Genomic DNA, 24,493 nt, shown 5'->3' on the forward strand with positions numbered 1-24,493 from the left:
ATAACTTCTATCACTCTAGGAGTACTATTACCTAATATTTGTTGAGCTTTTATAATACCATGTGCTGGGCACCGTCTTATAGAGTTTAACTTGACTTTCTCACTTTGTTTACAACAACACTTTGAGGTAAGGGCTATTATTACCTCTAAGTAATAGATGACAAAGCTATGGCTAAAGAAGCTATGTAAATTCTCCTAAGGACACACAATTAATAAGGGCTAAGGGAAAAAATGAAGGAGAGAATTCAACTCAATTAAAGAAATGTTTTTTCATCACATGTGTAAATTCATGGCCTGGTTTTTATGTAAGTGAGGCTTGATTGTCCTTTTAGAGCCCCATTTGGTACAACATAGTCTCATGTCCTTCTTACCAGTGTCTTTTGTTTTATTGTCATGGGGATGAATGACTAAGAAAAACATATTAGTCGAGCACATATATAATAGAATTAGTTTGCTAAATCCATAGCTGCTGAGGGTTCTAAAAGCAGCTGGTGGCATGCAGACTGATGGCTAGCTATCATGCAGCTACATGCTGTGATAACAGTCCTTTAAGATCGGTTTATCAGGAATTAGCTTCTGCATCTTGGAAAATCTGTATCAGAGCATCACTAACAAATAAAGTACTGTGTTAGTTGCAATCTGGAGACAATCCATTAAACCCTATTTCAATTCTCCCATCACTCCTTTTACAATCAATCATATGACATCTAATAATAGGTACAATGTATATTATTTGGGTGATGGATATGCTAAAAACCCTGATTTGATCAATACTAATCCATGCATGTAGCAAAATTGCGTTTGTATCACATAAATGTATACAAAATTTAAAAATACCAAAACACCAAATGCTTCCACATATGTGATCTTCACAAGTCTGTCATTACCAATATACTAATTTTAGAGATCCATAAGCTGCAGTTCACGTACTTTAAGTCATTCACCTAAGGGTTCACAGTGGCAAAGCCAGTTCTTGTGCCAAAAGCTTAAAATTTCAAATTCTGTGCATATTTACAATATTATTTCCTCAATAATCGAAAATAATTAATTTTGCTCTGGACAGAATCAAGATCCTTCCATTAGATGATGATCCCTTTATGAACACAATCTCAGAGATTCCAGCAAATTACAGTACTTTGAAACTATTATGTATAGAACACATCCTGTTAATTCACCACTTTAGCTAACAAAACTTTTCTTAAGAAAATCATATGTGGCTTTTTTTTCTCCTCCTGGAGAAAAAGTCTTAGGAGAAAATGGCAATGTGTTGTTCAGGAAAATATATTTGTCATGAAGTGCTATCTAAGTAGCCTTCGTTTTCTGAGACTCACTAGAAAAGGCCACTTAAAATGAGCATGCTTAGAATTAGAACCAAAAATTAATAGGAAATTGTGGGGAAGACATTTGATGAAAAGTTTATGTTATTAAATATATTAAATGTCTATTTTAGAAATTTATTTAATCATTTATGATAAAATTTGGGTTGTAATTATAACTATGCATTAATTCTTAGTCAAAACAAAGACTGAATAAAAGCACCTTTGGAGTATAATTTTTCTGACCATCTCATATCATATAATATCCTCCATTCTAAGTTTAACTTCCTAAGCATGATCATACAAAAGGGCATTATTTTCCCAAAAATATTTTAGGGCTCCATTACTCTTCCAAGGACCTCTCTTTGATATGCAAGCCAGTCTCTTGAAGCTCCTAGGTTGTCACCATTCCTGCCAATTTTCTTTTCTCCAACTGATTACTGGGCTAATTCTGCTGCTCCATCTTCAGTTGCCAATATCTCTGTGATTGGAACATTTCCCCACATTATTTGCATCATCTTCAGAAATTCCTGCCTTTTTTTTTTTTTTTTTTTTTTTTTGAGATGGAGTTTTGCTCTTGTTCTCCAGGCTGGAGTGCAGTGGCGCAATCTCAGCTCACTGCAACCTCCACCTCCCAGGTTCAAGCGATTCTTCTGCCTCAGCCTCCCGAGTAATTGGGATTACAGGCGCCCGCCACCACATCTGGCTAATTTTGTATTTTTAGTAGAGATGGGGTTTCTCCGCGTTGGTCAGGCTGGTCTTGAACTCCCGACCTCAGGTGATCCGCCCTCCTCAGCCTCCCAAAGTGCTGGGATTACAGGCGTGAGCTACCGCACCTGGCCTAGAGCACTTTTTCCAATTATAACTTTTGCTTCCTTAAGTGGCCTTAAACGTAAATTCAGATAAATACGTTAACGAGAACACCTTGTGTATAACATGTCAAACTGAATTTGGAATTTATTAACACATGTGTCATAAATTTCTACCATGGAATTCCCCAAGTTTAATGTTCTCTAGCCTATTGGTATTTTAGGAATTCTGGTTAAGATAGCAAAGGAGAGTAATTTAAAGGAGAGAAATCAATAACAAGCATTTTTGTAGCATTTTAAACTTTTGAAAAACTGATTTACATCACTAGTTATGTCTCTAGATCAACTTGTAAGATGTCTTCTCTGAATTACAGACAGAGGAGCTGCAGTACCAGAGGTGAAGTTAGCCAATTATGAATATGAGTGATAGATCAGTTACCCTGTCTCAGACCTTCTCTCTGGAAGAGAGGCAATTTAATCTGTTGAATACGGAAAGTTACCCCCTTCCCGTTCACATATTGAAGGCAATTAAAATCTCAAAGAATTCAAATTCCTACTAAGTTGAATGACAGAAGCATCTCATACCTGGAGCATTGGAATTGCCTGGTTTAACAGATGGAAGGAATTCATGAAAAGTGGCGACTTATCCATCCACTCTTGAGATTTTTCTCTTAATTCCGCCAGCTGTCTCAGAGTTACATTGGACTTAATGACAAAGAAACAAAAGAAGTGTGATCCATTAGTATTTTGTCTATATTTTAACAAGGTATCTTAAGATTGTTTTGTTACGTAACTTCAAAAGACAGTTCTAAAACATGAAGTTAGTACAAACAATTGTCAGAAATTTCCCACATGGTCAAAAGTTTCAAATGACAGCTTTCATAGGGTCAAGTTCATTTATAAAAATTCTGGATAATTTAGGGTTTGATTCATGTCCAGAGTGAGTTTATAGCCAAAATGAAAGCCTGACTTCTGGAGTTCTTACCAGTTTTTCATTTTCACCAACGACACACTTAACTTTACTATTAAAGAAACATCCTAGTTCGAGGATAGCAGAAGGATATTCTCACGTATTGCTGCTGAGAATAGATGTTAGAGGTTTTTGGAAAGCAATTTGACAATGGCTATTAAAATAAAATGCAATATCCTTCAACCCCTCAATTCTGAACATTCATCTTATTGAAATAAAAATACTGCTACATAAAACCGATACACAAGAATATTTATTGCTACATTGTTTATATTAGCAAGAAAAACACACACACACACACACAAAACATTGGAAACAAAATTAATGCCCAACACCTGATGATTGGATGAGTAAATTCGGTGTTATAAAAAAAAATGTGCAATCTCTAAAAAGAATGAATTAAATTATACCTATTGAGTTGGAAAAATTTTCACAATGTATTCTTGTATGAGAAAAACTATATATAAAAAAGGATTAAAATGCAGTATCATTTTAATGCAGTGACCTCAAAGAACTCTGCTTATGAATATATGTGGTATAATAATCTATAAAGGATTGGAGTAATAGAATAAATTATAGGAAGATGCATATATGAATGCTAACATACATTAGTTTATATGAAAGGAAGAATAGGATCAAGAGAAGAGGAAAAGGGGAGGTGAGAACCAAATACAAAAAGGGGAAAAAAAAAGACCACGCTTAAAACATAAGCTCATATGCTGCTGAGGTTGTGAAGAAAAAGGAACACTTATACATTGTTGGTGGGAGTGTAAATTAGTTCAGCCATTGTGGAAGACAGTGTAGCAATTCCTCAAAGACCTAAAGACAGAAATACCATTCGACTCAGCAATCCCATTACTGAGTATATATCCAAGGGAATATAGGTCATTCTATTATAAAGATGCATGCATGCATATGTTCATCACAACCCTATTCACAACAGCAAAGACACTGAATCAACCTACATCCCTAACAATGATAGATTGGATAGAGAAAATGTGGTACATGTGCACCATGGGATACCACACAACCATAAAAAAGAATGAGAGCATGCCCTTTGCAGAGACAGGGATGGAGCTGGAGGCCATTATCCTTAGCAAACCAACACAGGAATAGAAAACCAAAAACCACACGCTCTCACTTATAAGCAGGAGTTAAATGATGAGAACACATGGACATAGAGAGGGGAACAGAAGGGTGGAGGGTGGGAGGAGGAAAAGGATCAGGAAAAATAACTAATGGGTACTAGGCTTAATACCTGGGTGATAAAATAATCTGTACAGCAAACCCCCATGACAGAAGTGTACCTGTGTAACAAACCTGCACTTGTAACCCTGAACTTAAAATAAAAGTTAAAAAAAATCAACAAATAATTGTTTATTTAAATTGAAAAACAAAGTTCATATATAACTCAATTTATGCAAAACTACATAGGAATATATAGTCAGTAAAGCAAATAAGGTATTAAATCACAGTTTTTATAAAAATGGACAGAGATTAAATTGAATATTCTTTGATAATAATGATCGCTGTCCATTATTCTGTAGCATATAAAAATAATGTTATGTTCATATAATTATAGTTGAATGGCCAAGTAATGGTAAAACAGAGATTTTTCTTTTACTTTAGCTCCGTCATTTTAAAAGTACTAGGTTTATAAATTCAAATAATTAAAGCCAACTTTAAAGTGAGAGGGAAATACTATTATGGTTAAATGAAGTAAATGGTAAGTATAGTTAATAATGTTGTCTTATTCGACATCTATCTTCTATATAAATGAGACGTTAAATTGTACAACTAAATATGAAGCCAAGAATCTATACTTCAGGGATTGTTTTTGTTCCAACTAGTTATATAATGCTCAATATTACTTTTTCTAGTACAATAATTTTTACATACTTTGAAAGTTAGACACCAGTTGCAGAGGACTTTTCTGCTTTTTGAGATAAATGGAAAAATCTGAGGTCTTGCTTCAACTAACCTCATTCTCAAATGTTAACATGGTTCATTTCTCTTCAAAGGGCTCCCACCCAATCTATACTGCTTGCACATATCCAGGGCAGAAGTTGAGAATTTTACTAATAGTTTCAGAAAGCCAAGGATAATAATAATAGTAGGTAAGATAGAAAGAAATCAGTCAGCTAAAGTAAATTTGGAAGTTGACTACTTTAAAAAACATCTTAATAGTCAAAATAGAAACTGAGTTATAATGGTCAAACCTTTTCCATTATTGCCTTTGTGACTGGGTTATATGGTGCATACAAAATTCTTCCCAACAACATAGGTTTCAAGAAAGCCCAAATCACAGGTCCAGCGGGCATGTTAATGATGTCTTTATAAAGGGAGAAGCAAAATGGTGCTGGAAGGAAAAAGTGAAATAAAACCATTTAATAGATGTACTTCAAATCCATTTCCACATGGCAAATTGACAGAGATTATTCTTATCACACCCAAAAATACATGCTCTAGTACTTCCTATATTATTAACAGATGTGAGGCATCTGGTGTCAAAGTAAGAAAGCACAGTAACCAATCTTTTTTAGGTGAGAAAGTTTAACCCAATAAGCAAGCCCAGAGTAAGTGATGGCATTTTGCCAGGAGGAAATAGAAAACGTGAAAGCCACATTTCAGAATGGCTAACAGATTCATTTCCCAGCATTTACCTTTGAAAAAAATACACAAAAACCAACCACTAGGATAGTACCAGATACATAAGAGCTGTTCAATAAATGCTTGGTGAATGAATAAAAAGATGAATAAATGAATCCAGTTGCTATACTAAACACCCATATATTATTTGAATGAGCTCACTCATCACATTTTGCATCTCCAAGTTTATAGATCAAGTAAATGGTTTTGATGTGCCACGAGACATTTACGGTTCTGCTGCAGTCATGCAACTCTACCATGTGTGATAAAAATTCTAATTCTAGAAAGTTAGGAAAAAAATTTCAACCCAAACAGATTTAAGGCAAGTTTTTATATTGTCTAGAAGGCTCAGTGATGACTGACAAAATCTAAGTGTAGTATTGTAGTTAAGAGGATAGTCTTTGTAGCAGAGTACCTGGGTTCAAATGACAGCTCAGGCACTTCCAAGTTGAGCGACACTGGCCAGGTTACTTACCCTCCTTGTACTCCACTTCCCCATACTAAGATGAGTTAATGTATATAACATTCTTGACATGTGGTAAGTGCTGTATAATTATTTTCTATTTTTATTCTTGGGGAAAATTAATACTTCATTTATCATAAAAAACTAAGACAGAATAGACAGTATTCTTATTGTCATTAAGGGCAACTGTCATGCTTATTTTAAAGTATACTCACTGGAATTTATGGGAATTCCATATTTTGAAGCAATTTGCTCTTTAGTTAATTTATAAGTCAAAAAATCCTTGGTGTGGTTGCCTTTTGGCCTCTGGGAAGAGGGCAGCATGGCAGTTAAATATTCAGTGGTAATTCCTTGAGAACATAATGCTTGGGAGATGGTGCTAAATGATCCTTGTGGTGTGTTCATTCGGTTGCTTCTGTACATTGCCTGTGAGACAAAAATCCACAATTTATTGACACTATATGAGCTTTAGAAGCTACTGAAAACAACAGAGAAAGAGAACCTGATAATACTTAGAGTATCCTTACAGTTTCCATAATTCCTTTTATATGTTTATTCCAAATGTAAATGAAGAACAATAAACTTCACTAATTAAAGTGGCAAAAAGTGTTGCTAGGTAGAAGAGTTTTCTTGTAGGTGTTGTTTTTTTTTTTTTCAATGTACTACGATTGAAGCTGAATGTATTATAACTACTCAATATGACAGAAGGCATTTTTCAACAAGAACATTACTGGGTGACTTTGCTACCTGTGTTAATGGAACACTTCTGGGCAGATGCATTTGCTTCAGGGATCTCATTTTGTCTAGCAGCGGATGTGTGCCAGAAGCCATCTGATTGAGAATCTCTTTTAGTCTTATGAAGAGCTCCATCATCTTTTCTACTGGCTTTTGATCTTTCCTCGGGAAAAACACCTAACAGAAACAGAATAAAAATAAATGCTTTATGTGGAAAAATTGAATCCTCATGCATTGTTGGTAAGGTTGTAGAAAGGTACAGCCACTTTGGAAAACATTTTTGAAGTTTATTAAATAGTTAAATGTAAATTTAACACTCAACCTGACAATTCCATTCCTGGGCGTTTACCTAAGAGAAGTGAAAACATGTCCACACAAAGATTTGTATGTGAATGTTTATAGCAGCATTATTCACGATAGCCAAAAAGGGAAAACAATCCAGGTGAGTGGACAAAGTATATATTCTTAAAATGGAATACTATTTGGCAATAAAAGGAAATGAAATACTGATACATGTACAATATGTATGAAACAAAAAAAATTATATTAAGTGAATAAGTGAATGAAGCCAGGCAAAAAGACCACATATTTCATGATTCAATTTATATGTAATATCTTTTTAAAAAGGCAAATCTACAGAGACAGAAAATAGATTAGAAGTTGCTTGGGCTAGAGATTGAAATGAGACGTAACTGCAAATAGACATGAGGTTTCCTTCCGAAGTAATGGAAATGTCCTAAAATTAGATTGTGGTAATAGTTGCACAATTCTGTATATTTACTAAAAAAATCATTGAGTTAATCACGAAAAATGAGTGATTTTTATGGTATATAAATAATACCTCAATAAAGTTGCAAAAATAGATGATTTTATAAGTCATAAAGGCAAATGTCAACTACATATTTCTTCATGTATACTATTGCTCAAAAATGATATAATATGCACCTAAAAATTAAAATAAAACTGTCAAAAGGCTTACATGATTTATCAGGCTAAGTCATTTTAATCCCATAATGCTTATGTGCTACAAGAAGAAACATTGAAAATGTTTTAAAATTTTAATGTAATTTTTTTATCCTCTTATTTCATTTATTCAGGAACATGAATTGAGTGCCTGCTGTGTTCCCAGCACTGGGTGAGGTGATGGCTATGCAGTGGTGCTGAAGCTGGCACCATCTCGGTACTCACAGAACTTTGATCTATTAGGAGGAACAGATATCAAACAAGCCAATGAACCAAAGGCTGGGGCATATGAGAAGGTAGGGAGTGTTTAGCTACGAAATCAAAGGAGACCTTTTCAAAGCAAAATCTCAAAGAATGAGAAAGAACATACCATTGGAAGAACAAGAAGAGGAAGGGCATAGGCAGAGGGGCAAAGCTGTTTGAGGTCCCTGAGAGAAAACCTGTGATATTTCTAAGGAAGTCAAAGACCAAGATTTTGAGCACAAGATTCAGTTAGAGAGGTAGCTTTGTGTTCATATCTCCCACACCGCCCATCTCTCAGTCATGAAGATATGGTTACCTCAATAGCAGAGCTCCTGATTCCAATCATATTTTGAAAATCAGAACCAACATTTTTTTCTATTTTCTATTGCAGTTCTGCCAGAATTCTAGGCATTCCCACATTAACGTGAAATAAATTGGCATGCCGACGTTTAACGGCTAGACTCAACAGCAAATATTTAGTTTGATATCTGCTCTGTAGAGGCATTATAAAATTAGAGTTAAAATTTTAGGCAAAGTAATAATAGTAATTTCATGTCATATGCATTGTAGGTTATAGTTTATGTAAAATAACCATTGGCTGAGTTAATGGGTATTTGCTTCATTTCCCTATGGGCCAGACACTGTTCTTTGCATTTAAAATATTTCAGTGAACAAAGAGGCCCTTGTGGAACTAACATACTAGTGGTGCAAACGGCAAATACATTTTAAAAATGGGCGAAGCACGATGGCTCACTCCTGTAATCCCAGCACTTTGGGAGGCCAAGGTGTGAGGATCACTTGAGGTCAGGAGTTCAAGACCAGCCTGGCCAACATGATACAACCCCATCCCTATTAAAAATACAAAAATTAGCCGGGTGTGGTAGCACACATTTGTAATCCCAGCTACTCAGGAGGCTGAAGCACAAGAATTGCCTGAAACCAGGAGGTGGAGGCTGCAGTGAGCCGAGATGGCACAACTGCGCTCCAGTCTGGGTGGCAGAGAAAGACTCTGACTCAAAAAAAAAAAAAGGTTTAAAAATGAAAATTTAATAAAATATATAGTTGGCTGGAAGCAAAACAGAAGCCAGAATAGGAAAAGGGGATTTGAGAGTGCTGTAGGTAGCATTGGTTGCATTTTAAATAGGGTGGTCAGGGTAGACCTTACTGAAAAGGTCAATGTTAAGCAAAGTCAAAAAAAAAAATAGCCTTGCAAATCATGTGAAGGGTTGTCTCTGGAGTTGTGCCACACAGCAACTCTGGAGCCAGGGTCCAGAAAGTAGCCAAGTAAGAAATGAGATTTTAGTGATGAGGAATCATTGTGCAGATCATAAGGCCCTTGTAAAATTTGGGGGTTTACTTGAATCAAATGGAGATCCACTGGAAAGTTTTGAGCAGAAGGGTGATATAATGAGACTTTAAGTTTTAAAAGGATCAGTCAGGCTGCTTGCAAGGTGCTAGGGAGAGGGGTAGAGGGTAGGTGTGGAAGCAAGGGATATGGTTAGGAGACCACTGCAGAAATATAGGCATGAGATGACAGTAACTCAGAGCAGAATTATTTATAACTAGTCCAAAACATTTTTATCCCTGTGGCTATGTCTCAAAAATATGTCAGCTATTTCCTTTTGGTTGTGTTTACTACAGAGAAGGATAATTCTTCAGTGTTTTTAAGAACATGTAAATATTTTTGACCCAAGTGAAATTTGGGTGAACATAGGTGCTTAATTTTCCTATGTTTATATTTTTCTTTCGGTTATTTAGTAAATAAGTACTCATAGAGCATCTGCATATTGCAAGATGAAGTCAATGCTGACTTTACTAAGCTCTAATAACAACCATTTGTTTTTCCTTCTGGGTATGTAATGGTAGCCTCTATCTAAATTGATGAAGGAAACAGGAAATTTTTTTTTAAAGAACGCCAAAAAAAGCCTATTTTTAATTAAGAAACCCCTTTTTTCTAATCTTTTTTAACCCTACCAACTTCATGTCTGTTCACTGTTAAAAAAATAATAATTGCAACATTTGCATTTAACACTTTTGAAATACAACATTTGTATTTCACAGTAACAGTACATATTAAATTTAATAATTGGTCTCTGATACACAAACCGAGAGTTAGTAAGGAATAATATCAGTTTCCACATCTATAAAACGTGCAAAATTGCAATAAATGATCTCTAAGGTTGCATTTAGCTTTAACATAATGCAATAATTCCAAAAGCCGAATAAATGGATCTCATCCCTCATAGTATCAGAGAACATAAATGTATAATTAAATAGTTTTATATAAACCATGAATATAAACATATTTAACCAACAGCAACTTGCCTTGTATGTGAAGTTGTAAATGTTTAAGTAGTGCAGAAGGGTGAGTCCGATGAGGTAAGACTGCCGGGATCTCTCTGAAAGAGACAGGTTGCAGAATTCTTTCATTGCATCTTCTAGTTTGGGAGTGGTGATATTAGTATCACAGGAATGCAGCCAGAACACCTGAGAAATAATCTGCAAATGGAGGAAGAAAAATATTTCAACTGTGAATCATTCGAGAGTCAACTGTTCATTTTGTGAGGTTTTCTGTATACTCTAAATTTTAAACTAAAACAAAAGGTCCTCAAGAATCAAACAACTTTTCATCTAAAGCACTAATTACTATTAATAAGACAATAGAGAATTAATAGTTCACTTAAGAAATAAGATGGGAGGCCGGGCGCGGTGGCTCACGCCTGTAATCCCAGCACTTTGGGAGGCTGAGGCGGGTGGATCACGAGGTCAGGAGTTCGAGACCAGCCTGGCCAACATGGTGAAACCCCGTCTCTACTAAAGATACAATAAATTAGCCGGGCGTGGTGGCGGGCGCCTGTAATACCAGCTACTCGGGAGGCGGAGGCAGGAGAATGACGTGAACCCTGGAGGTGGAGGTTGCAGTGAGCTGAGATTGCGCCATTGCACTCCAGCCTGGGAGACAGGGTGAGACTCTGTCTCAAAAATAAAAGAAAAAAGATGGGGAAAAAAGAGACAAGGAGACATTCAGGATGGCCCCTGGATTTCTTGCCTGAACAGCTGGGTGAATGATGATACCAAGAAAGACAAGTGGTTTGGAGTAAGTTTGGGGAAAACGTTAGTTTAAGACTTTGCTCCCTGGCTGGGCGCGGTGGCTCACGCCTCTAATCCCAGCACTTTGGGAGGCCGAGGCAGGCGGATCACGAGGTCAGGAAATCAAGACCATCCTGGCTAACACGGTGAAACCCCGTCTCTACTAAAAATACAAAAAATTAGCCGGGCGTGGTGGCGGGTGCCTGTAGTCCCAGCTACTCGGGAGGCTGAGGCAGGAGAATGGTGAGAACCCGGGAGGCGGAGCTTGCAGTGAGCGGAGATTGTACCACTGCACTCCAGCCTGGGCAACAGACCATGACTCTGTCTCAAAAAAAAAAAAAAAAAAAAAAAAAAAAAAAAGACTTTGCTCCCTTTAAAATCTCACTCTTAATAAATTCAAATTGCATTTAATTTTTGTAATCATTCAAAATTAAAATCTTAGGCAATATACTCTGTGGGTCCAGAGATGTAAAGCAAAGAAAAAGAGTTTCAGATCCTACAATCATGTGAATTACCCATCTTGAACAGTAATGCTCCTGTAGATAGTGAGGTATGATTACGCAAAATAAGATGTCATCTTTATTGCCACCGAGTTGAAATAAAGAGAAAAGCGTATAACATTCAAGGCCACAGGAACTTTTCACTCTTTCCTCTTGAAAGTAATAAGAATGTAGACTCTCCATTTACACGTTTTATTTACTAAAATGAACCTGCTCTATAGAAGCCAAAAACTTGATTGCTGAAATTATATCTTAGGATCAAATAATCAAAAGGTGAGATTAAAGAGAAAAGATCAATGAATATTATTTACTAGTACAGTAAAGGCAAAGCTGTTTTAATTTTTGTATGGGGGAACCAATTAAAATGACAAGAGATAGCTGCAATATTTTTTAAGGGGAACCTTAAAGGCTTTTTAGAAACTATCCAATATTGGAAAATAACTGGGCTGTGCTTAGAAATGACACACTCTGTCACACATAAGGTTTGAATGGATGAGGCCTTAAGCTCTGCAGCTCTTTTGGAAAATTTCCATGACACTTCCAGACAATGGACTTGGAAAAAGAATAAAAGATAAGACATTTTGAGTGGAAAACCCTATTACCAGCATATGAAGAAATGACATTATTCATTTTCACATCAAAAAATATTTACTACAACCACAAACTTACCCTTAGTTCCCTTGACCACATCTATTGTATATGCTATGTCTTGCTGTACGACTTTTAAAAAGTAAAAATGGATATCCATTTTAATTTTAGTTGCAAGCAATAGTAAGTAGTCTCCATACATTTTCCCCCAATTAGGTTACTGAAGTTTGACTTTGATAGCATTTGAGTAGGTACAAATTCACCTCATACAATGTAATTGCGACAGTGAATATAATTCTTTTTTTTTTTTTTTTTTGAGACGGAGTCTCGCTCTGTCGCCCAGGCTGGAGTGCAGTGGTGCGATCTCAGCTCACTGCAAGCTCATTGATTGAGGAAGCCATCTGGGGGTAAGGAAAAGGAAAGAACAAATGGGGCATGGGAAAGGACAAGGAAAAATAAAGAGAAAAGGGACACATAGTGATAAAATTCTTGCTTCAGAATTTTTCTTCTATCTTTAATGAGGCCTCCAGGTTTATCACTTGCATAGAAAATTCACCAGATTAGCATGCAACTTCTCAGTGTTTAACTGGTAAGCGCTCAACAAATGCTAAATGCTATTTAAATTTCTAAGAACTGCATGTAAGTACAAACACATGACACCCCACCTCAGCTCTATTATCAGGGATGGGAATGGCCAGCAACTTGTCAATAGTCCTGTTGGACATTCCTGTTGTTCTCCTTAAATCTTCTTTCAGCTCTTCAACATTTTTAAACATTTCTAGTAACTGACCTGCAAGAAGAAAAATGTAAAAAGAAAACCCATGTTGGTTTGTCAGGTCACTCTTTTTAGTATGACTAACATAGAGAAACCTTCTAGACTAAGACATACGTGCCTTCTCAGGGGCAGATGTCTCCCAGTTTTGGCAAACGTTGCATATTTAGGATCTATTTCTATCTGATTTAGATTTGTTCTTATTATTATATCATAAACCCGAGGTAACAGATTGCTCTGAGTTATAAATTTTCCTTAGGTATCTACAAGTCAAGGTTTATTTAAGGAAAATATGCTTTCCTCACAGATTTTGATCACATAATGCACTAAATAAATATCTCTCCATTTGATTTAAAATATCACACAGATTCAATATGTTTTTTTAATCTGGGATCATGTAATATTGTCAATTTAGGACAAAGTTTGATAAATCCACACATAATGCCACAGAGCATTTTTCTTTAACTACAGTCACACTACAGTTATAAAGGGTTTTTACAATCATTATCTCACTTTTAAATAGAACGTGTTTAACTTCAAACTCTTTTAGGACGGTGATTATAATTCTTTTATTTCTGGGTCATTTATGGCACAATAAACAATATTTAGATTTTAGCAGATTGTAATAATCATCCTGCAAATGCCTTTCCATCTAAGTATCCTTCATGCAAATATATCTTTTTTTTATTTTTCAATCTAGTGCCATTCCAATTTTGTGGCTGCCCGTTGTCCAAAATTCTGAATGCCTTTCCTTTCAGTATTGAGGAATTATGCAAAGAAGAAACGTATTGCATGATACCTCATGCTTGGAATACTAATAGAAAGTTCTGAATTGAGATTTCTGTAGACAACAGTGCATCCTTTTGGTTTTTTTCCATCAGGTTATTTTCACAGAAGCAAGTAAATTTCATTGTTGCCCTTGCAGCTGACTATGGGATGAACTTTAATATATCAGAGAAACGAAAGGTGAATGGTCTAACTAGTTAAACTTTTGAAGATCTTTTTGCTGTGAAATCAGATTTCCCTGTTTCATTCTCTGCTAGCTTTCTGTGTGTTTACTTTAGACAAGTAACCATATTTGAATGCTTCAGGTTTCTCATGTGTAAGGGCAGATAGCAAAGCGAGTTTGGTTGGGAACTTCAAAAAAGCTTTCTTAAACTGCAGCGTGAGAATCACATGCATTCTAATAAGACAAGATTTAAAATGTGGATGGGGAAACACCTGGCTTTTCAGAAGCATCTGCACTGTTATTGACATGCAGCATGGCTTCTATGATCGGTATTAACTGAGTGATATTTTCCAAGTAATTCATTTGCAGTGCCTGTTCTAGAAACCTGGAACAAAACAGAAAAGAAGAAATTCAACTAAGTATTTCAATATTTTGAAAGAGATTTCACCAAGGAAGAAGACAATGGAAAAACTTACTGATCCATATTTAAATTAATTTTGCTTGGATCTCCAGTCAGCAAATCTCTCACTTTTTTAGATATGACATTGTCATGGTACAGTAAGCTGGCTGCTATTTCGGTGCCCAGCTCTGCCGCTTCGAGGAGTTGCAGATCAAACTCACTTTCTTCACACAGGCTCCCAAAGCTCATATCAGAGAGCTGGCATGACTTCTCTATCAAACTGAAAGTTTCAGATTCACAAAGAAGTTCGGTCAAGTTTCGAAGTTGAGACAGCTTTCCAAAAAGGGAAAAGAGTGGGAAATAGATTAGTTACATTTTTCTACATATATAGTAGTTGATAATAAGCAACCACAATTGATTTCCTTTAAGAAAAACATTCTGCCTATGTATGTGGTTAGTTGGCATTTGGCGTTAGTTTTATTATGAAGTACTACCGTCTGTCATTTGAGTTTATTGTTCTCGTAAGAACCTGGTAAAACTTTTGGGCCTATTAGACCTGTCTTTCTCTGTGGAGTCACAGGTTTAAAAAATGGAGTTTAGTTTTATCCAGCTTAACTCACAAATACTTTGACTAATTTTATATTTTGATTTATATTTTAAATCATATGTAAGGGCAGATAAAAAGCAAGTTTGTTTTAGAACGTTTAAAAAGTATTTCTTTCTCACACCCATTAAGATGACTACTATTTAAAAAAAAAAACAAAATAACAAGTGTTGGAGAAGATGTGGAGAAATTATAACCCTTGTGCACTGTTGGTGGGAATGTATGCACACACACACACACACACACAGAGTGGTATATTATTAAACCTTAAAAAGGAAAGAAATTCTGACACAGGCCATAACATGAATGAACCTTGAGGATACTATGCTAAGTGAAATAAGCCAGTCTCGAAAATGAAAGGTGAATGGTCTAATACTATATGATTCCACTTATATGATGAGGTACCTAGAGTTGTCAAATTCATAGCGACAGAAGCAAAATGTGGGTTGTTAGGGGCTGGGGAAGTAGAAGATGAGGAGTTGTTTAATGAATATGGAGTTTCAGTTTTACAAGATGAAATGAGTTCTGGAGATTAGTTGTACAACAATGTGAATGTACTCAACACAACTGCACTATATAGTTAAAAATGGTTAAGATAGTAAATGTTATGTTTATTTTACCACAATTCTTATTTTTATTTTTATTTTTTGAGACAGGGTCTCACTCTGTCACGCAGGCTGGAGTACATTGGCACGATCACAGCTCACTGCAACCTCGGCCTCCAGGCTCAGGTGATCCTCCCACCTTACCCTCTTGAGTAAGTAGCTAGGACTACAGGCATATACCTGCACTCCTGGCTAATTTTTTGTATTTCTTGTGGAAACAATGGAGTACATTGGCACGATCACAGCTCACTGCAACCTCGACCTCCAGGCTCAGGTGATCCTCTCACCTTAGCCTCTCGAGTAAGTAGCTGGGACTACAGGCATATACCTGCATTCCTGGCTAATGTTTTGTATTTTTTGTAGAAACAGGGTTTCACCTTGTTGCCCTGGCTGGTCTCACTCTTGGGCTGAAGCCATCTGCCGGCCTCAGCCTCTCTGAGTGTTGGAATTACAGATGTGAGCCACTGTGGCCAGTCGACAATTTTTAAAGGTTAACAAAAAATTTTAAAAGCCTTTCTTGAACTGCAGCATGAAGATCACATTCATTCTAATAAGACTGTATTTAAACTATGGACGAGAAGACGCCTGATTTTTTGGAAGTGTCTGCACCGTTATTGACGTTATTTTCTCTCTTAGGTATTACAGGATACTCGGTGTTTTTGTCTTTCAAAGTGCTTTAAAAAGTGCTTAAAGGGGTTTAAAAATCCCACACCCGGAGGAAAAAGAGGAAAATGAAAATCAAATAATTTCCTATCCTGTCAATGATATTCCTCTCACTATCAGTTCACTGTGTTCTATGTGTTCTGAGGATATATTCCATGCCCTACATCCTGGGGAAAAAATAATATGTGCCCCTGGGAAAGAAAATTCTATTGTGCTTGGAAGCTACCCTAGAGCTGTTTCTTTTAAGAAGGGAAATAAATTGGAACAACATCCTAAGAAACATGACATCCTATGTGTCATTCATTGCAGCTCAGTTTCTAATCAGAAGTTACAGTTTGACCAAAATGAAGTATTTTATGGTACCGGCAAATGTTTGGGAATATTTATTTCTATATTATCAAATAAGAAAGGCACAATGATATGTCTTTAATGAGAGGTTTATAACTACACGTAGTTATAGCAATTAAATGTTGGTCATCTTAGATAGTAAATATCATTGGTCTATTTTCCATTGTACTTAATATTATAGTTGACCTCTGGGTTTGAACTATTCAAAAATAGGTTTATATGTACAAAAATTCTACTTACTAGTGTTATTGCTATGAGAGATTTTCCATTCTGGAATAGACCCAATCACTGTACCACCTATAACTGCATTTGCCACTCTAGTCTTTCTTTTGATTTTCCAGCTACTAGATATGATTAAACCTGTAATAAATGGAGTGAAGCCTCTATATTACATTCTCCAGGGAGTTTTTTGTGGTAATTTATTAAATAAAAAGATAAATTCTGTTGGGCTAATATATTTGTTTTAATTGAGCTTTGAGGGTGTTGTACATTTGAATGACTTTTACCCAGTAGATACTGAAATATGTTTTTTAATTATAAGTTTGGTGTACATATGTGGGAAACCAGCAAAGTTCCATATAGTATAGTCTTGGCTTAGTGAGATAAAAGTTATAGAAGAGGACATTGGAAATCTAGCCACACTGTGGCTAATAGGCTTGGTTCTCTGAAATAAAAGTATAATTCAGGGCCAATAATGTGGAAGGCATTGAGAAGCATATCCACCAAGGAGCAACATTATGGTCATTTTGTCTTTGTTATTACTTACTGCTTTATTCTGAGAACAATACAGGCATTAAAGTTCTAGAAGCTTCACAGATCATTAATCATCAACATAAATTCAGTGAATTAGAATTCTTTCTTCAAAAGTATGTGTCAACTTCAGATTGCAGATTTGCCAAAGCTTCATGTAGAGCCCTTCTCTCTTTTATCACGAGTAAAAGTTCAGGTTTAAAATAGAACAACGGATGACTAATGCCATTTCCAGCTGTGACTGAATTCTCCACTGCCTGATGCTTTTCAAATGTATCTGAATCAGAATCGTAAGTGACATGATGGTACTGACCTCACAATAGCAATGGGCATAAAATGATAAAGCAGCAATATTCCTGAGCTCTTGGTGGGTAAATAGAGGGAAAAATGAGTCTATTTAAAATTTTACAGGTTTTACAATAAAAATATTGTGTTATTTGTATTTCTGCCCAATACAGGAACACCCACTTTATGCATAGCTCCCTAATCAGGAAGTTATTCTTCCCATCAAAGCAACTGGAAAGAAAAAAGATAAAACAATGAAGGGAGGAGAAAACACAAAAGTTCAAGAAGAGCAGAATGTTCCGGCAAGGAGAAAAAGCTGGGAAAAGTCACCAATGAATGCCAGGGTTCACCACTATCTTAGGAATATCATGAATAAAGCGTTAGATTGGGTGTGCCCTAACTGATGGTCACAAGCATGATACTAATTATCAGGGTGAACAAAGCAGGGGAGTAAGAGCATCAGTAACTGTGAAACTCTAGGAGTTTGTCTTCATTCTTTCAGTGATAGGTACTGAGTGTTTCCCATGTGTCATACCCTATGCCAGGTGCTGGGGATGCAATGGTAAAGGAACAGACCTGGCAATATTCCTCATGGAGCTTGTGGTCTAGGACTGAATGGGTCCCGTCAATTTCAAATAACAGCCATGCTTGTTATAAATGATGATAGATTTTCTACTCAAAAGAAACGAGTGTAGTTTATTTCCACTTCTGTGGCTTCTAGAACTTTTTCCATAATGTAACCCTGAAGGAGAGCATTATATTCAAATTGGGGATGATGTTTTAAATTATTTTTAGCCCCAGTCCCATCCTATTAGTATAAATGGTTGAGACTGTGGTGTTTCCATTTCCCTAGTGTATATTATGTGCTTCCTGGTGACTTTCTAAGTCAAGAACTGTAATTGCCCAGGGAGCATGATTACATTCTCAGTGCTCTACTTTAACACCCTCACTTTTTCATACATTCATGAATCAAGCCTTAAGCTCCTACTATGTGGGGCTTTAGGGGTGATGAAAGCATAATTTCATCAGCTTAAACTCTAGTGAGGAAAACAGACCTGACATATGCAACAAATTATAATGCCAAGTAATAAGTTCCAAAGGCCAGATATCTCACTGTCACTGGAGATGTCATCTCATTAGAGATGTCTCTTTCTAAAATGCAAATTTCACCTTCTTCAAATTTACAACTTTCATGATCAAATTCAAATTCCTTGACAAGGAAGTCAGGATCTAGGCTCAGCCTCACCCTGCAGCCCTGTTTTCTGCCTATCACATGGGCATCTTCTGTTCCAGCTGAACACATGACTGCAGATACCCCTATACCTGTCTTTCAAGTTCACGCCTCTATCTTCTTAAACTCAGGACTCTATGTCTAGAATGCACAACTAACCTAATTCTATGCAGCCTTCAAAACTCAGAGAAAGCATTATTTTCTCTACAGAATTTCTTCTCTCCACCTCTATCCCTTACAATCCATGTTAGATATCCCGCCTCCATGCACAGAAGCCTCTATCCACCTATCACAACACTTATCTCACTGTATTACAATTGTTGGTCTGCTTTTCCATCTCCTCCAATGGATTGACAATAAGCACTTTGGGGTAAGAGGCTATGTCTTACAAATAAATAGATTAGTATTATGGGAGTACATATAATTGATAAAAAAATGAACGGATAAATATTATAGGAGCACAGAAGAAAAAGTCATTATCCTGGCTGAAAAACAGCAAGAAAGGTGATACTCTAATATTATCGAAGAAGTGGTATTTAAACTTGTCCTTGAGGGATGAGTAGGAATTTTCCAGATGAATGCACAATTTCCTTCTCATTTGCACAAACAAATTAAGATAATGCTAAATTAAGTATATTAGAAATTTTGATGCATGTAGAAGACTAGGGCTAAAATGTAGGTAATGGTAAGTAGTACATTTATTTGTAATATACATGGACATAATGTTTTGCATGCCTGCTTAATTATACCATGTTCACTATACAAGTCATCTTGCTTGCCCTGAATAAACCAGTTCTAATTTCACTTTATTCCTGACTATGTAAATCCAATTAAATAGCTATTCTTTCTAGGAATACAGCTTTCAAATTTTAATAGGGTTATTTAAAAAATAAACTAAATTTCATGATAACCTGTATACTATATGCATGAGATAAAGAATAATAGACAAATAAGCATAAAGTTATTCCCACATACAGTTATATATTTTTTGGTTGCCTTTTCCCACATTCTCTAGTATCATAAATTTTAATATAAATTATTCATTTTAGCTTCTGATGACAACAATAAAAGTAGGGTGAACCACATTTTGAGATTTTTGTATGCTGTGAAATCTAAAACATCAGCTTTCAAAATCTACTTTTACAAATTTTAAAACAAGACATCTCAAATTAGAAATTATTATTACGAATCCTTTTTCAAATCTCTTTCAAATTATGAAGTTTAATATGATAACTATTGTTAGCCATTCCCTTATAAATGTGCATACTCTAATTAGGCTCTTTTGGGTCATTTCATGCCGAGATCTCCACTGATTAAAAAAAAATACCATTATATAACATCAAACTCTTTAAAAACTTTCTTTTTAAAGACAGGGTCTCACACTGTCACTTAGGCTGGAGCACAGTGTGACAACAGCTGACTGCAGCCTCAAACTCCTGGTCTTAAGTGATTCTTCCCACCTCGGCCTCCTGAGTAGCTGGAATTACAGGCATGAGCCACGGCATCCAGCCATAAACTCTTTTGTCACCATTTTTCTAGAGTCGTAAGTAGGGCCATTATAAATCTAGAGTTAAAATAGCATCATTATTTACAAAGATCAGATTTAAAACTTAAAAGTGTATCTTGCCAAATATTATGAGAAGTGTTAAGGTTTTTTTTTTGTTTGTTTTGTCTTTTTGTTTTTTTTTTTGTTTTTTGTTTTTTTTTTACTTTCATGGCTTACTTTTGATTTTAGGACTTCAGGAACTGGAGGAAAGTAATCTTCATAGGAACCATTGCGAAGAAAAGATTTTTTAAATCGTATTGTGGACTGCAGGAGTCTTAGATTTTCTGTAAAGGAAGGGAGAAGAGTTACTTTATGTGAATTGCAAGGTCATTTAGGAAACCAGTTTGAAAGACACCTCTATCCTGACTTATTACTAAATTTTTCCTAAGATAATAGCCTACCTCAATACAAACATAAGATGAATGAAAATTTAACCTTTATTTGAACCATGGGGACAACAGAGTTCATTATTTTAAAAATATCAGCTTAGAGATAAAAATATTTCTAGCAAAGGTGCTCCATAGTTTTGGCTCTTTGTGAACTGACTATGCTTTCATTCCTGACTTTTGGATATACTATTAAGTTGAAGTATCTTGGAAAGAATAGGTTATAGAATCACTGTGATATAAATATGCCTTTCCAACCTTGATTAATTCATACCTTGTAAACAAAGTCTGGACTTAAATATTTGTTGTGCTATTTGCTTGCCATTAACTCTCAGAAAACTATTTTTGGTGTAGGAAAAAAGAATGTGTGTGTCCTAGAAAATGTGAGAAAGTAGGTCTTTTCTCTCAAAAAAAAGAAACATTTGATTAAATATAATCTTTATGGTTGCCCATGTAGGCAGAAAATTGCAAATAAAGTGTGTAAGGGTAGAAAATAAAAGTAGTCTGCCACAAAAATGCCTTTGTTTATGTAATTTACACCCGCTTTTAGAACTCTATATTATCATTCCTTAACATTTTTTAACAGCTAAGATTATTAAGAGCATAGAAATGTCATGAAGGGTCATATGAACCTCTAATGACTCTGGACACTTGGAAAATTTGTCCCAGTGGCCATTATCATATTATCCATTATATGGCCATTATGTATTAAAGTTTGTCCAGGTGGCCAGCTAGTGCTAGCAGCAGCAACAGAATAATATGATATTATGACAAGACATTCCCTTTGTATATCAAATCACCAGACTGAAACTGATGCATATGGAAACTAAGATTTTACAAATTTTCTTTCCTGTGTAAGCAAATGCCTCAAAAACTCACTACTTTAGAACAGAGGTAGAAACCATGAGCAGCATTTTGACTGTTAAGAACAGTATTACCTGGTGAACCTCTGGCCAAACTGTCAGTCACATTTCTCACACATGCCAAGTAAGGAATATAAGGACTATTTGCTGATATATTTAAGAGGGCATCTTCAAAGTTTTCCAGAATTAGGAGCCTGCAGAATTAGAAAAGAATATAGAAATTAAGACATATAAAAGTAAAGCAAAGCCGTTTTGTTGAGATCATTTTGGTCCCTTGTTTGGCATTGGTTGACTTGGACATTGAAATACTATGCAGTTGGCCGGGCGCGGTGGCTCACGCCTGTAATCCTAGCACTTCGGGAGGCCGAGACGAGCGGATCACGAGGTCACGAGATCGAGACCATCTTGGCTAACACAGTGTAAACCTCGTCTCCATTAAAAATAAAAAAAAATTAGCCGGGCGTGGTGGCGGGCGCCTGTAGTCCCAGCTACTCTGGAGGCTGAGGCAAGAGAATGGTGTGAACCCGGGAGGCGGAGCTTGCAGTGAGTCGAGATCGCGCCACTGCACTCCAGCCTGGGCGACAGAGCAAGACTCCATCTCAAAAAAAAAGAAAAAAAAGAAAGAAATACTATGCAGTTGGATGTCTTCCCTCACCCAGTTTAACTGTACAAGGGCAGCACTACTCTAGATCTTCTGAGCACTTGCCTTTTCTATGTGTACTATCTTTATATTTAATTGTTTTAATATGCCATCATAGGTCATCTTAAGGCAATTTCTAGGCACACTTACATGAAAGAAAAAGGTCACTGGGTGAGGATTGCCAGGTAAAATACTGGACTCCCAGTTAAAGTTGAATCCTAGATAAACAATGAATAATCTTTTTTGTGTATAAGTACATCCCACGAGTCCTGCAATTTTTTTTTACTTTTCATTTTCTAAATCTGGCAACCCCCTTCTGACTCTCCGATTCTTCTCTTGTCAATTGAAAGCTAGGGGGCTAGATGATCTGCTAGGTCCTTTCCACCTATAATATTGAATAACTAGATTTGAATTCATTTAATTTTGAATTAATGGGATCCCATTGACCAATATAAGTTCCTTTTTTCTCTAATCAACCAATTTAGTGTTTCCAAATTCACCACTTTCTGGTTTCCTTTCAAAGTGATTGGCATGTAAGGAAAGGGCCTAAGATTTTTCAGGCTACATGAGTGAGTAAGGCTATGTGAATGAGTATGTGCGTATTATGTGTGCTCTGTCGCTTCAACTGTGAGGCTACATCTCTATTTATTTTGTAACTTCTTTCCTTAGTGTCTACTATTGAATTTTATGTAAAGATAGAATAAATGTCAATGGCTGATTTGGGGATCATCTGTTTTGAATCAAACTGTACAATACACAAATTAACTAGTCCTACTGGATGTTTAACTTAGATTTTATTAAAATGCGAGTGGGAACGATTAACCTTGGCATAGCTAGTAAATGCAGGAAAATATTTTCATCAATATTAAAGAAGACTCAGGGTGTTTAAATGTGGGTTAACAACACTGGATCCTTGAGGAACTTTAAAAGAAAAAGAAATACATGGCAAGAAAAGTCTCTAACTTGGCAGTCAGAGCACAGCAAAGTGGTCAGAGGGCTGACTCATTTAAATACTATTCATAGTCTTTATATTTTTTTAAAAAGTATCCATTTTACAAGCGCTCATGCTTGTGCATAGGCATTTCCTTGACTAGAGACTCTTGGTAATACTATATTTGGTGGACTCAGACCTTAGAGATTTTAGACAGTGAGCTTCATTATTTATCAAAGCCTCCTTATAGATAGTTAATGCCATTGATCAATTCACAAATGAAGGACCAGGAGAGTGTATTCTTAGAGTAAGTTTTCTGTCCTAAATAAAATAAACTATCTATTAGGGAAATTTCTAAATCACATTATTACTGTTAAAAATGCAACAGGAGTGTGACAGGTGACAAAACTAACCCTATTATATAGGTTATGCATGTAATATGAAGTCATGCCTACAGTCAAGTTTCATGGACTGTAGTCTACCTATGACATCAGTGAGTCAAGTCAAATCAAATCAAGCCAAGGTATAATAATAACCAATATACTCACAGCACTTGCTCAAAAAACCCTGAGCAGGTATTTTGAAATGATAGTTTCAGAATGTTGAGGGTAGTGGGAAGCAGTGTCAGAAAGAATATTCTAAAGATAAGCTGGAAGATGGGATTTGAGAATCCAAGACGTCAAAGAAGAGACAAATGAAACTATGAGAATAATTATAAATTTACTGCATCTATTTTGGGAAGAGGAGGGTAGAATAATCCATCTATTTTATTTGGCTATAGTGATAAGTAGAGGTTTCAATATAAACATTTCTCCTCTGAGCAACTTGAAAGAATGATCCATTTAGTTTTGTATCCCATTCCCTGTTCACCCCGACCCCATCCCCATCACAGAATATCTAGCATTTGTATTTCGTACATCATACACTTGAGTTAGTATCTGTGGAAAGGATAAATACATAAGGAAAAGAGATGCAGGAAGCTGCAGAGACACTGGCCATTTATCTGAGAAGTGCCCAATGAGGCATCACCGGATAAGCACACGTCGGGTCGTTCTCCTGCTTCAGTAAGGTGGTTCTCCCTTCCTCTCCTCACCTTTCCCCACACTTCCCAATATTGCCCTTCCTTCTTTTGTGTTTGTCTTTCTGTCTGTCATCATTGTTACAACATAGAGCTATTTCCACTTGGTGCACTGCT

The 24,493-nt window shown here is 36.0% G+C and overlaps 1 protein-coding gene and 1 long non-coding RNA gene across 5 annotated transcripts in view; one reads left to right on the forward strand and one right to left on the reverse strand.

The window, feature by feature from the left end:
- The window catches only part of ABCA12 (ATP binding cassette subfamily A member 12), a 207,085-nt gene that overhangs the window by 73,476 nt on the left and 109,116 nt on the right, over positions 1-24,493 (reverse strand). For all 4 annotated transcript variants that reach the window (NR_103740.2, NM_173076.3, XM_011510951.3 and 1 more), the window contains 10 exons: positions 21,803-21,921; positions 20,656-20,762; positions 14,523-14,779; positions 14,319-14,431; positions 12,991-13,115; positions 10,473-10,646; positions 6,954-7,118; positions 6,422-6,632; positions 5,314-5,453; positions 2,710-2,829 (listed from right to left, as the gene is read on the reverse strand). Coding sequence is in view for 3 of the 4 variants with exons in the window: in NM_173076.3 (NP_775099.2) it covers positions 2,710-2,829; positions 5,314-5,453; positions 6,422-6,632; positions 6,954-7,118; positions 10,473-10,646; positions 12,991-13,115; positions 14,319-14,431; positions 14,523-14,779; positions 20,656-20,762; positions 21,803-21,921 (1,531 nt within the window). In the remaining variant the exon portion in view is untranslated. The remainder of the gene's footprint in view (positions 1-2,709; positions 2,830-5,313; positions 5,454-6,421; positions 6,633-6,953; positions 7,119-10,472; positions 10,647-12,990; positions 13,116-14,318; positions 14,432-14,522; positions 14,780-20,655; positions 20,763-21,802; positions 21,922-24,493) is intronic.
- On the forward strand, positions 16,811-19,404 carry LOC124906117 (uncharacterized). The gene is made up of 2 exons (XR_007088073.1): positions 16,811-17,706; positions 17,875-19,404. It is a non-coding gene; the product is annotated as an uncharacterized LOC124906117 (long non-coding RNA).

The sequence above is a fragment of the Homo sapiens genome, chromosome 2, assembly GCF_000001405.40.
Source record: "Homo sapiens chromosome 2, GRCh38.p14 Primary Assembly".
Lineage (NCBI taxonomy): Eukaryota > Metazoa > Chordata > Mammalia > Primates > Hominidae > Homo > Homo sapiens.